The sequence below is a fragment of the Homo sapiens genome, chromosome 6 (genome assembly GCF_000001405.40).
Source record: "Homo sapiens chromosome 6, GRCh38.p14 Primary Assembly".
Lineage (NCBI taxonomy): Eukaryota > Metazoa > Chordata > Mammalia > Primates > Hominidae > Homo > Homo sapiens.
The window spans coordinates 5475663-5490054 of record NC_000006.12 but is presented as its reverse complement, the minus strand read 5'-3'; the positions used below and the strand labels follow the sequence as shown (position 1 = coordinate 5490054).

At 42.8% G+C, this 14392-nt stretch overlaps 1 protein-coding gene across 19 annotated transcripts in view, besides 1 other annotated feature; it reads right to left on the bottom strand.

The window, feature by feature from the left end:
• Positions 1-14392, bottom strand: part of FARS2 (phenylalanyl-tRNA synthetase 2, mitochondrial) — a 521650-nt gene that overhangs the window by 281529 nt on the left and 225729 nt on the right. The gene's annotated exons all lie outside the window — the stretch shown is intronic.
• Positions 3410-3469: an enhancer, noted in NCBI's record as "active region_23907". NCBI's record gives its function as "activates an Ori minimal core promoter by ATAC-STARR-seq in GM12878 lymphoblastoid cells {active_cell/tissue: GM12878}" and the evidence as "EXISTENCE:reporter gene assay evidence [ECO:0000049][PMID:35858748]".

Genomic DNA, 14392 nt, shown 5'->3' with positions numbered 1-14392 from the left:
GTCAACCGAAAGGGCCACAAGGAGGCTTTTTAGGGTGAGAGAACTCTCTGTATCTTGATATTGTGCCTACGCGACTCTATATACTTACTGAAGTTCATCAAATTGCACATGAAATGAAAGACTTTTATTTTACGTAAATAATACCGTAATAAAAAATATTATTATGTGCATGGCATTATATGCTTTTCAACTTCAAAGAAAACTATGGCAATTTATTACAATTTTATAAAATTTTCATAACCTATTTATTCCAACGTAAGTTCACTATACATAAAATGCAAAAACTTTCTATAATAATAACCAGCAATTAATAATCAAAAATCAAATTCAAAAGAGACTAGTGACTGGTAGGCCTATCTGAAGACTAATATGCCTGTACAGGAAAGAGTGATAAAGCCCAGAACTGAAGTAATGGCGTCGTGCGTAGAGAGAAGGAAAGAGATGGAAGCATATTACAAGGGTTGAACTGACTGAATTTGTCAACTGACTGGAGATGAAAGAGAATCAAAGGAGAAATTCAAATGTCATGATAACATTGAAACATCAAATGTCACCTTCCCAGTGAGGCATCTGATGATTGTCTTATTTTATTTTATTTTTTGAGATGGAGTTTCATTCTGTCACCCAGGCTGGAGTGCAGTGGTGCCATCTCAGCTCACTGCAACCTCTGCCTCCCAGGTTCAAGTGATTCCAGTTCCTCAGCCTCCCAAGTAGCTGGGCCTACAGGCGTGCACCATCACGCCTGGCTATTTTTTGTACTTTTAGCAGAGACGGCGTTTCACTATGTTGGCCATGCTAGTCTCAAACTCCTGATCTCAAGTGATCCGTCCACCTCAGCCTCCCAAAGTGCTCAGATTATAGGTGTGAGCCACCGCACCCAGCCTGACTGTCCTATTTTAAACTGAAATACCCCTGCCCCCACTCCCACACTCAGAATTTCCTATTCTCCTTCCCTGATTCATTTTCACTCTATCATTTATGACCTGATGACACTAGATATATAATTTACTCATTTTCCTTGTGGATTGCCTACCCCCACCATACTGTAAGCTCCAGAAAGGTAGAATTTTGGCCTGTTTTATTCACTGCTATAGACCCAGTGCCTAGAAATGTACCTGGGACACAGTAAGAGCACAATAAATATTTACTACATGAATTGACTGAAAACATTAAAAGAAATCCGAACACCTGAAAAAGAAACAGGCATGTACATGTGTGTGTCTGAGGAAAGCAGGAAGAAATGATGGATTCAGATTTAGATATGCGGAGTATGAAGTATTTAAAAGCCAAATAAAAGCCAGAGACTGAAAGAGAAGTTAGGTGGGTGATTTTACCAAAGATAATGGCTGAAGTTCTGCAAAGACACGAGATTTCTAAGAGGCACCTCAAATTCAACAAGTCCCAACTAAACTCTTATGCTCCATTAAACCCATTCTCTTTCACAAAAGAGATCTACAGCAAATAAACAAAAATCTACAATATTTTCTTCAGCACTGTACTGTAAAATTATTCATTTGAGCATGAACAGGTGAATATGAACACATTGTAATGATGACTTCATATATGGCCAAATATTAGTACAGAGCAAATAATTCTGTCCATGGAATCAAATATAAGTACATTAGATTAGAAATATTTAGGCAGTGCAATAGTAGATATTGACCCTACTAAATCCTTCAGCTCTGATAGAACTGGTGGAAGCCTGAGTACTTCATATATATAGAACCAGTGAAAAAGTTCTCCACAAGGAACAGAATTACAATCTGACTAACGATAGCCTTTTGAACATTATCACTAATGTATGTCTGTACTTTTTTCCTTGAAGTTTGAGCATTCCAATCACTACTGTTAGGGGAAAGTTGGGATCAAGTTAGGGAAGATTCAGAGAGACAGAGGTAAAAAAGGGTCTAGGCTTAACACGAAAGCAAAAGATGAACTCCAGGGCACAGGAGAAAACACATTTATCCAAGGACACAGCTGATCATAACATCTACTTTCTGATGAAGAGTAAAATCCAAAAGAAATAATCTTCAAGCAAAGAACACTGCTTCAAGGAGAGAATATTCTCCAGAATAAGCCCCAGAGTCCAGCTTCCATGCCCCTACAACACAGGATAATATGGAAGTCAGTCTGCTCATCAATGCTTACTGAGCCTTTCCACATGCCACACACATGGAGCATGTGTCCTCATGGAGACCAGGTGACGTAAGCAAGTAAAGCCACTGAGGGGTCTGATGACTGCAGGATCTAAAAAAACCACGGTATGTCAATGACCAAAGGTCTTTGGAGCAGTCTGGTCAAACCATTCATTTTCCAGAGGAGGCCCTGAGTATTAAAGCCACGTACCTACATCAGATGTCAGTGAGTGCAGAGACAAAAAGAGAACCCATGCGTGTTGGGGAGACCACAGAATCTGCCCTCAGACCAGCTAGGGTTGAATCTGGCTCTGCCACTGACTGAAACGTGCGACTTCAGGCAAATTATCTTCTCTAGGCCTCCACTCTGTAATGGGTAACATGGGAATAGCAACGATAGTGCCAAATACACACGGCTGTTGTAGGTATTAAACATAAAAACATATCATTGAGGTATGTTTTTGACCTTGGTACCTGCCACATGGTTGCTGAGTGCACACTATATGTTAGGAATTGTAGTGCTGGTTGGTTCTATTATCACTTTGATTCTGTTTTTGTCAGTGGTCATTGGAGACTGGTTCTCCCTAACTCTGCTTCAGGATGTACAGTCATGGGGTTATGGAGTTTAGCTCGCCTCCACAAGCCTGTCAGTGCAGACAGCTTCTTCCTACAACGTTGGCACCCAGGTAGGTGCACCAGAGGCTGTGTGATGAACCCGGAGGTCCAGGGAAACAGCACAACACCTGGATGTGGAAACTGAAAGACAAACAAATGAAAAACCTTCTCTGTATAAGCAATGTTATATCAGCTGAGTGTTATCTTTTTATGCATACCTTACTTTGAGATTTATTTGAAAGAATCATCAATACCCCTGGACATGAGCAGCCAATATCCAACCAGCTTCATTTCTGTCAGTGACGGTGCCCTTCTAGGATTCTGTGTGATGTTCACGGCACAAAAAATCTGATGAATGAGTAGGTAAATCAAACAATTCAACTGATCAAAGATTCATTTGAGATTGCTAATAATACTGCCATTATCATATTAGCTTTTAAAAACCATGATCTCTCTTCACAGAAGACAGAGGTAGATCATTTTGCTTGGAAGGACAGAAGGATTAACTCCTTGTGGCCTGTGCATGCATTCCCATGATGGAAACGTGGCTGACAGCTGACCACGGGGGATGAAGGAAAGCAATGCAAAGCTTAAGTCCACACCTCAACATGCTGACCTCCTGGCATCACATTTGGCTCATTAACAATATATTTTAAAAGTCCTGTTGTTCAGCAACAAAATATACTAGTATTGAAAGAGAAGCTTATCAATACAGCACTGGCTATCCCTCCTCACAAGCAAAGGGAAAGCAATCATTTACTCAGAAGTTCTGACGGTGGAGACTTCTCCCCTGTGAGATAACTTTTATCTCTAACCCCACCACTAAGCTGAACAAAGATTTACCACAAATTTTTCATGAAATTACCACAGAGTGAGAACTCACCTGAATAGAAGGCTAAAATAAAAACAAGTCATAACAAGAACAGACCTGTTCTGCGTGGAAACAGGGTTTGGGGCTCAGGGAAACACTTCCCTTTCTCTGGTCAACTACTGAGACTAAAACCAAAACCTCATCTCTGACTTCCCAGGTGTCCTGTAGTGAGGATGATAATCCCTTTTCCAAATATAAAAATATATAATATATAAAAAGTTAAGCTTTACTAAAATGAGTAGTAACAGAAATGCATCTGTTTCTCTATTAATAGCTAACATTTACTGAGTGTGAATGGCCCTGTGCTAAGCACTTTATATTCATTAAATCCTTGCCATATCCTTGAGAGAGGTAATGCTATAATTTCCACGTTATAGTTGCAGGGAAAAGAAGTTCAGAAATAATGAATAACTAGTCTAAGTCCCCAAGGTTAGCAGTGGCAAAGTTGGATTCCACCTAATTCTGGAGCAGGGCTGCCCGACGGAACTTCCTGAGTGCGGGAAATGTTCTGTGTCTGTGCAGCCCAGTTCAGTAGGCACCAGCCACATGTGGCTAGTGGGCACTTGGAATGTGGCCAGCCAAGGAACTGAAATCTCAGTGGTACCGAATTCTAATTCATTTGGATGTACACAGCCATGTGCGGCTCATGGCCACCCTGCAGGACAGGGCACTCTAGAGCAGGAGTTGACAAACCGAAGCTGCAGGTCAAATGTGTCCAGTAGCTTGTTTTGGATGGTCTTGAGCAAAAAAATGTTTTTTACATTTGTTAAAAGATCTAAAAAAAGACAAAGATACAACAGAGACAGTATAAAGCCTACGAAGCCTAAAGTATTTACTATCAGGCTCTTTACAGAGAAAGTCTGCGGCCCCCGGCCTGAGAGCTATACTCTTAGCCCCACAGTCACTGCCCCCCAGGAAAAAGGATTTCAAGCCCAGTCCCCCCCACTTTAAATCTTAACAGTATGAAGACAACGTTAAGAACTGCATCATGTGAGAAGTTTCCTATTTCCCATTAGAGTATTTAAGGGATCAAGCAAGCCTAAGAGAAGGCAAAAAATGCTGACCAAGGTATGCCCTCATTAAGTTTTGTACAGTCAGCCTCCAAAACAACACTTAACATTTACAAACTGCATTTGCATTCATTATCTCATGTCTTATTTAAAACAATCTCATGAGCAAAGTATGCCCATTTTACAAAGGAGAAAAGTGAGACACCACACTCAATGCTACATCAAAGGAGAGGCAGCTCCGAGTCCACTGACTTGGCCATGAAACAAAATTTCTGTAGAAGCTGAAAAAAATGGTGCATGTACCAGGGTCACAGGAGTAGCCAATAAGTTCAACTAATTCAAGCAGAATAGCTAAGGCCATGGGCTTTCTCCCTCTTTGGGAGGAAGAGCCTCTCTCCTCTCCACCAACTGAGTGCCCAGGGAGGGCTCCTCCGGGGCCTCTTCAGGTCTCCAGAACACCCACAGTGTCTAATCTGGCTTTTTCACAGGGGTTCCTGAAAACTAGCACAAACACAGCCCCAGGAGTCCAGGCCCCCTCAGAGAGGTGAACAGCTGTGCCCCCGTCTGCCTGGCCTTCAGCTGCACGCACTAAGGATACCATTCTCTCAGCAACAACAGAGTCCCTTTGGAAACTCACTGTGCCCTTCAATCCAGCTAGGAGGTTTCTCTCTGACACACCCTCCAGGCCACTCCTGTGATTCCTGGGATGTGAGGACCTTCTGGGGCTTGCAGAGTAAAGCAAACTATCCTTTTCTTTTTCACCCTGGGACCACTGACTGTCCCCAGGTTTCCCAGAGGTTACACGTGAGACTTCAGTATTTTGTATCTTTTCCTTATGCTCTAAACTTCACTGTCCAATAAAGCAGTCAGTGGCTATTTCAGTTTATACTAATTAAAACTAAGTAATCTTAAAACGCAGTTCCTCAGTTACACTCAATTGGAACTCAAGTTCACCAGTCACATGTGGTTAGTGGCTACCATACTGGACAGCACAGATATGGAACATTCCCATCATCACTGCAAGCTCTAATGGACTGTGTTGCCACCTAAAACCTAATATTCACACGATTCTGATTAGACGCAAATACATGATGAGGAAGATCATGATTTCCTTCTAACTTCTGATTGGTAATGCACCAATGCCACATAACCATTACCAGATAATTCCTTCACAGCATAATGAATTCAACTCAACCATTATGATTACTTTTGGAACACTGCCTTCTGTATGTCCCCCTTGGCCCATCCAGAAATAATGGAATCACTTATTTATGTGTTTGCCTGAACGTTTTTCACTTTTGTTTTTGTTTACTTTTAGAGACAGGGTCTCACTCATTCTGTTGCCCAGGGTGGAGTGCAGTGGCATGATTCTAGCTCACTGCAGCCTCAAACTCCTGGGTTCAAGCAATCCTCTAGCCTCAGCCTCCTCAGTAGCTATTGCCTGTAAGTTTTACTGGGCATTTCAAACTTCCAAGTCTCCTTTTTCCCCTGGAGTATTCTGGTGTTGGTGGCAGGCCCTGAATCCGTTCAAATTACTCCATGAACCACTTCAGGCTTAGAAATGCATGTACAGCTATACCTTCTATCCACAAGCTCTGGTTGTCTTTGTCTTAATGCCCCCCCTCACCTGCTCATCCTCTTCTTCATCTCCATCTCTTGGGCTACCTTTGTTGAGCCAGTTTTATACCATATTCTAAGTCTCCTTAACACAAGCTTTATTTATTCATTTTTATTATTTATTTATTTATTTATTTTTTGAGACAGAGTCTCACTCTGTCACCCAGGCTGGAGTACAATGACTCAATTTTGGCTCACTGCAACCTCTGCCTCCTGGGTTCAGGCAATGCTCTTGCCTCAGCTTCCTGAGTAGCTGGGACTACAGGTATGTACAATCAAGCTTGGTTAATTTTTGTATTTTTAGTAAGACAGGGTTTTGTCATGTTGGCCAGGCTGATCTTGACCTCGTGACCTCAGGTGACCCGCCTGCCTTGGCCTGGGATTATAGCCATGAGCCACCAGGCCTGGCCTAATATAAGCTTTAAGTTAGTACTGTGAAAAAAAGTCAATACTGAATTACTTTGGGTTGCTCCAAAAGCAGAGCCAAAGACAAGGACTTTGTTGTAGGTGGGTCTTTTGGGAATTGATCACATAAAGATAGAGTGCAGGAGCAGGGGGAGTGATAAAAGGAGAAAAGCTACGATAAAGGTGTGTTTTGAGATTGCTACTGTGAGCAATAGTATCCACTGCACTGAATACTTTTAGAAATTGTCAGCTTGAAGGAGAACCCAGCAGTTTGGGGTATCTATCCACCAGCTCCCATCCCTCCTTATTTGAGGGCTGCCATTCCATAATGCTCTTGTACATGGACCCAAGGAGTGCCTACAGAGCTGGAGAAGTCCCAGGCAGAGGTGGATAGATGTGCGTATGGCTCCTTGTGGGCCCTGGCAGCAGTGGTCAGTCAGAGCTCCAGCAATTCCTTCCAATGCAGCTGTGGCAGAAACCAGAGCTGGGTCATGAGGAGGAAACACAGGTACACCCAAGGCAGGCTTCTTTACAAATGAGAACATGCACGATTTTCCCAACTGTAATTTCTGGAAAGTGCTGACTCTGAACTTTCCTAGCTAATCCATCATTGTCCTTTAGGACTCAGCCCAGTGGCCCCCTCCTTGAAGCTTTTCCTACCCAGCCCCACGTCAACTGAGCTGAGGTTTTTTTCTCTGTGCTTCCCCAGCACCTTGCAGTGCTCATCACAGTGATTTTCAAATGGGTGCTGCTCTGTCTGTCTCCACTAGACTCTCACCTCCCTGGGGATAAGGGTGTCCTTCACTTCCAGGAAGCTTGTACCTAGCACACCACCTGGCATTCGAGTGTTCAATACCTGGAGGAAGCAAAGAAGGACAAGAGCATCCCTAGAAATCCACTAAGAGGTCAGGATTCCAAGTCTCTCTCCATGTTTATGCTCTCCATTAATGAACCTCAGGAAAAAGGGCCCACTCTCAAAAACATTAAGTGGGCATTTGTAGAGTTCCGCATGCCTCACCTTACTTCATTTAATCCAGCAACAGTCCTGGTCAGTTAAACCATATTGCATCAAATCAGAGATAATAAGATGCTGTGTAATTTACCACTAGAAAAAAATAATTCTGCCAAAATAATTGAAAGATAATATGGATTGTACTGATATCAAATACTGATACCAGAAATATAAAAATGTGAGGAGGGATTGTGCTTCCTAGACTTTTTGAAATGTGGCATTTATTTATTTTCCATCTGATTCAAAAAAAAAAAGATGTAAGCTGGCAATCCTATGAGATAGATATTACCATTTACTTATCCAATAAAAACCTGAGGTTTCTAAGAAAGAGGAAGCATGTTTCCTCGGCTTCTTTCCTCTCCGTTTCATGAGACCCAGTCCCCACTCTGGTACGACCTTCCTTCAAGAAAGCCTCTGATGAACCGATTCATGCTGAGAAGGAACTTACGAGGACAGTCCTCAAGCATATCCACAGATACTTAGGGAGGAGCAAGAAGCCATCCTAAGAGCTGCGTCTCCACGTGTGAAAATACAGCATCACAGAGCAGACCACGAGAGTGGATCTGGAAGCAAGGGGGGTCTTTTTAACAGCCTGCCATTCCAATCCGCCTAAGTATCCCTGTCAGAATGCATGCTGACACCCCAAATTCCCAGGGAAAGGCTGGATAAGCTCAAACGACCAGTGAGAAATTTAAAAGGAAATTCTCTTGAAGCTGTGCATGCCAAATGCAAGCAATAAATAAATAGGACTGTGACTCTAAAGGACAAGGGCCTCGGGATAGAAAATGGCATCAAATTGTTGTTTTCTTTCAAAGAGTCAACTTAATGGGCACAGATTCTAGACTACTTGTAACAAATGGCTGGAGACAGCTTCTCCCCTTCCCAAGTCTAAGAACAATGAACTGAGGCAGATCCAGAAAAACGACAAAAGAAAAGAAACTGTGGTAGTAATTACAACTTGCCCTGTGTCCAATGGACAGCTTGCAATGTGCCCCATGTCTTCACTCTCCCTTCACAACACCATGGGCAGCCTTAACTAGCTAATAAGTAGGTGGCTGTGGCTAAAAGCTTTGCAGTGCTTTACACATCCCCTCCCCCTTCCCTGCCTATTAACACGTCCGCCTGGCACTGTGTCCACATTTCCATGTGGTGTGCCTGGGCAGGAACACACGGAGGGCTCCCCTGGGCTCTGGAGGCAGGTGGTACCCGTTCTGAACCGAGACGAGAAGATGCTTGTGCCAGAATATTTCTCTTTCCAGCGGGGAGAGACAGGGAGTTGAAAGGGAGGTGTAAGACGTGCATAAAGGACTCACTGCCTTTTCCTGCTGCCAGTGAACACTGTGCTGCAGGCTAACTGCAAAGACTGTTTTAAAGAGTGCTTTCATTTTTAATTTTGCAAAATGGCTTCGACCAACAGACTAGCACATGCACAAATGCACGTATGCGTGTGCACATACACACACTCATACACACTCGATGTTGTTTTCATTTTTAGTCTTCTATAGATCCTGCAGAATCCTGCTTTAAAGAGACATCCATTATGACACTATAAATTCACCATGCAGTTAAACCTAGGAGGAAGGAGGAAGGATAAAAGATTGCAGGCAACTCAGTCAGAAAAGAAGCCACCTATTTGGTAGCTTTGCTTTAAGTGACAGTGGTAGCAGAAGTTTTTATTTGAGGGAAGGGGACAGAGTGGCAGAGAGGCAAGAAGGAGATAGCAAAGGGCAGGACTTACTCCAGATCTTTGACAATTTCCCAAAATGTGCTTGAAACCGTCATTCTTACCTCAAAGAGTTTATCCAAAAGTCACATGTCTCAACCTATCTCAACTTGCAGTTAGAATATTTGCACTTAACTTACTAAAACAGGTATGCCATTAGGTAATCTTTGAATTTTAGTATATCTCAGGTCAGGAAGAGAAAAGAAACACCGGATACAATAAACCAGATGCGTTCTGCGCCATGTTCTTACTTTTTTTGAGCTGTATATGTACTTCTATAATATTGCCTGCATTTTTCAACAGCCTTATTATAAGTTAACTCATATTGAATCTGTGACAAATTACATCCTCCACTTCTTTCCACTCTGGAGTTGTGCAATTAATTTTTTAAACCTAATTTGAAGGCTTCATATTTAACTTTACTATTTTTCACCCTGTTATTTCTGGCGCATCCGTTTAGACGATCATGATTTTCTTGACTCAAGATCAAGTCACTAATCACATTAGCTATCCTCCCAGCCTTGCGTCAACTGCCAGTTTGATAAACATGTCTTCATCAAAGTCGTTGATAAAAATCGTGAACCAGACAGTTCTGAGGACAGGGCTCTGCATCACCCCAACTAGAAATATTCCTCCAGGTTAACACTAAGCCAATAATCTACTCTTTGGAAAGATCTGTGCAGACACAGACATGACAGAAGGGGGCCGTAGGTCCCTAACTCTTCCAATGGTCCTGCCCTTCTCCTTCTCCTGAGGAGCAGAGGGTTGTGCTAGAACAGGGTGCATCAATATAGCTAGCTGGTATCTCCCTGAGACTGGTATATTCAGGTGTGGCTGTGTGGGTTTTGGCTTAACTGCTTTAAAGTTGTTACCTAACCATACAATTAAGTTGTAATGTGGAGTTAATAAAATAATTCAAACCAGAATGATTTTTTTAAATCGCTGTGGAATTTTATATACACGATACCGCCTGAACTGGGTCACTGCACAGGGCTTTAGCAATTGCTTTATTATGCAGAGATTTGAGCTGTAACAGCATTTGTTATAAGAAGTTATAACTTCTGTGGATATATAATGTAAAAGTAGAAGTTATGGATCAGAAAGATGACAAAATTTAAAAGATAAACAACTGTGTATTAGAAATGCTTTTATCCTGCTGGGAGTTAAAACTAGATGACTATCTGGAGACTTTGCTGTCCTGGGTTTTCAAGAAAAGACTGTCCCCTGGTCAAACGCATGAACACTAAAGCAAAGTAGAACTCAATTCCTGCTTCAGCCTCCTAAAATGCACTCTATGTCATGTTGCCTCTCCCACTGTGGTATCTCCTGGAATGGAATATGACATTTTGAATACAATGAGTAGAATCTAACAATGCCAACAAGAAAGAGGGCACACACCCAACACATTTTGTAGGCAGCATGTTAAATGTTGTAACCCCAAGGAGGGTTTCCCTAAAAAAGGGATGACAAGTGAAAAGACCGTACACAGAGAACCAACTGTGCTCAGATGGCCAGACCCTTAACCTAAGCAAAAGTGACTACAGGCTGATACGCATTGCAAGTATGTCCAGGATACAGATTCACGGGTTCACCCCGATGGAATTCCCAGAAGCCATAATTTTACTACATAACAAACAAACTAATTGCTTTTACATACTAAAATAAATGTGAATATATGATGGTGTTTATAATTTGTATATTTTATAGTCAAGAAAAGATAGGGAGCTTCTAAAAATATTGGCACTTTCAGCAAGTATTTGGGGCTCTGTCTCACTCCCCTGCAGGCCTGAGCACTCTCTCCTTGGCTCAGAGGGAGAATAACGCAATCCTGGGAAGCCCTGCTTTGTGGCCACCAAGAGGGAATGAACAAACCACAACCATCTGGCCACTCATGGCAGCTCAGACTAGGTATACACAGCCCGAAGAGCACTAATTTGGGGGAAGCCAGGGAAGCACCCTGGACGAACCACCATTTTAATGGTGGTGCTGGTTGTTCCGCACTTGCAAGACAGGGGCACTCAGTCGATGTGAGAGAATCATGGTGGTTTGAACGCTTATCTTGCCTGGGCATCTGGACATGTATTCTATGTTCATTGGTAGCATAGACTGGGATGAACAGATGGGGAGCTCCAGCCAGGGTCTGGGAAACAGGAGGCTCATGCTCTACTCATGCTTCTGCCATGAGTTATTAAGGACACTTAACCTCTCTGTGCCTAAGCTTCCTGTTTCATAAAACGGAAATGATATTCCTGTCTATTCCCAAGATTAGCTGTCAGGATGAGATCAGATAGTAAGAAAATAATCTGTAAAAGCATCATACAAGTGAAAGATATATGATCACCACCTATCTGTCTGTACCATACTAGGATTTTATCTAGAATTGGAAAAAGCTACCAATAGACAGCCAGGTTAAATAGTAACTGGTCACAGGTTAGGCTAATGAAATTATCTGGAGCCCCTGTTACAGCCACATCAATCTGCGCTCTTTCAGTTGGATTCCACACATATTGACTGAGTGTCTTCGTGTGCCAGGTTAATACTGACATCACGTTTAATATGTGCCAAGCACTAAGTGTTTTATTGTATGTGTGTTGGTGGGGGCGGGTCATTGTTACTGGTTTGTTTTTTGTTTGTTTGTTTGTTTTCTGAGACAGGGTCTCGCTCTTTCACCCAGGCTGGAGTTCAGTGGTGCAATCATGGCTCACTGCAGCCTCGACCTCCTGGGCTCAAGTGATCCTCCCACCTCAGCCTCACAAGTAGCTGGGACTACAGGTACACACCACCACGCCCAGCTCATTTTTTTTATTTTTTGTAGAGATGAGGTCTCACTATCTTGCCCAGGCTGGTCTTCACCTCCTGGTCTCAAGCCATCCTCCCATCTTGGCCTCCCAAACTGCTGGGGCTACAGGCATGAGCCACCACACCCAGCCTTGCCTAAGTATTTGATATGGATTTATTTGCTTACTCCTCAAAAGATATCAGTTAATTACACACACAAAATTAATTAATTTACAATAATTTGTAAACTGAGGCCCAGAGACATTAAGTAATTTGCCCAAGGTCACCCAGCTAGTAAGACTGGATACAAACACAGGCAGTCTGACTTCAGAGCCAGTGTTCCTAATCACTATGTTATATGTCCTGGAGATGCCGCAGTGAGACAAGACAAGTGAAAACATTGTAGCATTCTCTAACTCAAGTCAACTAGGCCTTATAATAGTCACAATTGGCATTAATCAACCCTGTTCTCATGGGTCAAACAAATAAAAGTGGTATTTCAGGAAAGCAGGAAGTGTCGGCAGGAAGACAATAAGCTAGGGTAATGAGATAGGGAATACCTGAAGGAGGTCTGTTGTGAGCTGAGACACTGCTCAGAAACTAGTTCCTGGCTAATCTCTGACCATCTAAGTATTCTTAGAACTAGCTCTGTTTAGCCCTGTTAGACCCAAGGACAGTCAAGGTCTTTACTTGGTTTTGGTTTTGTTCTAATAAAGGAATTATACACAAATTATTATGATAGGCACATAAAACAGGGGCTCTGGCCACATAAATTGAATTGGACATGGAGTCTGCTTTTGAGTCAGGCATAATAACTAGGAAAGAGAAGTACCAATTGCCAGGCCTGATTATCTTTATAAAGAAAGAGGGATATTTTCTTCTGATTATAAAAGTAGTCTGTCTTCATTTCTACATTCTCAACTACCAGCTAGAGCTCCACACTGATGCCTAACTGGCACTTAATATCCTACACTTCCAAAATACACTTCCTTGTTTTCCAGTATTGCAACTGCTATTCCTCCTACATCCTATTCCTCCCAATAACCCCCTGGTGCAGCCTCAGGAGTTAAGCCCACCTCTCCCCATTTCCACTCTGGCCGCAGTTCCAAGTCCTGTTAGGTTTGTCACATCCCTTTTGTCTGGCCCTTCCCCACTGCACTGCAACAACCAAGGGGCAGGCTCTCAATACCTAGCTGTGAACTCCTCGGCATGGCAACGGCCTTCCATAAGCCCTCTCCAACCCCTCCCCATGATATTTTATAAAATATACAAGGGCAACATTAATCTCCCTCCCTCACTTCATTCTTTCATTTGTTCATCCCTCCCTCACTCCATTCATTCATTCATTCATTCATCCAATAACTATTTATTGGTCACCTACCGATACTCTTCACACAGTTCTAGGAGTTGTGAATTCAGTTAACAAGACAGGTAAGTTCCTGTCCAAATGAAGCTTCACTGATAGTAAGGAAGACAGGCAATAAACATGAGAATAAATAAACAGGATAATTCACCAACTGACAAATGCCATGAAGAAAATAAAGCAGAGTGATATAAAAGAAAACATCAATTAGTATGCTTCCCACTCAGGTAATAGAAAACACGACTCAAAGGGACTTGAGAAGGAGATAACATCTCACAAAACAAGAAGTCTAGGTGTGGGCATGTTCCATCCATATCCTGGTTCTCTCCCGTTCGCCGGGGGCTGCCTTCTTCTGAGTGTCAACTGTCCTTACTCAGCAGACCCAGACCTCACCTCCTGATCTTCAACTTGGAGGGAAGGAAGAGGCAACATCTCTTTAGTGACATTTTCTCAGAAGGGAAGACACTTTTCCCCCATCATGTCTCATTGGTCCCTCACTGGGTCACATGCCATGAATGAACCAATCACTGATAATAAGAGAATTACTATGATCAGGTTAGCCCCTGGCCAACGGATAGGCACACCTTCCCTGAGTTACAGAATGGCTAATGGAGCAAAATCATGGGAGAAAACAACATCAGGGGAGCAACGACCGGCATCCATGACAGCAAGCCACTTGAGACTGGGACACAGAGAGGGGAATTGGAGGTTGGGAGACAGGCAAAGAGTGGAAGAGGGACTCTCTGAGCTGCACCTGAGTAATGAGAAGGCGGCATCCATGCAAAGCCCTGGGGTAGGAGTATTTCAGCTACAGAGACCAGTAAGAGCAGAGACTCAGCTGGAAACAGTAAACAGTGTGACTA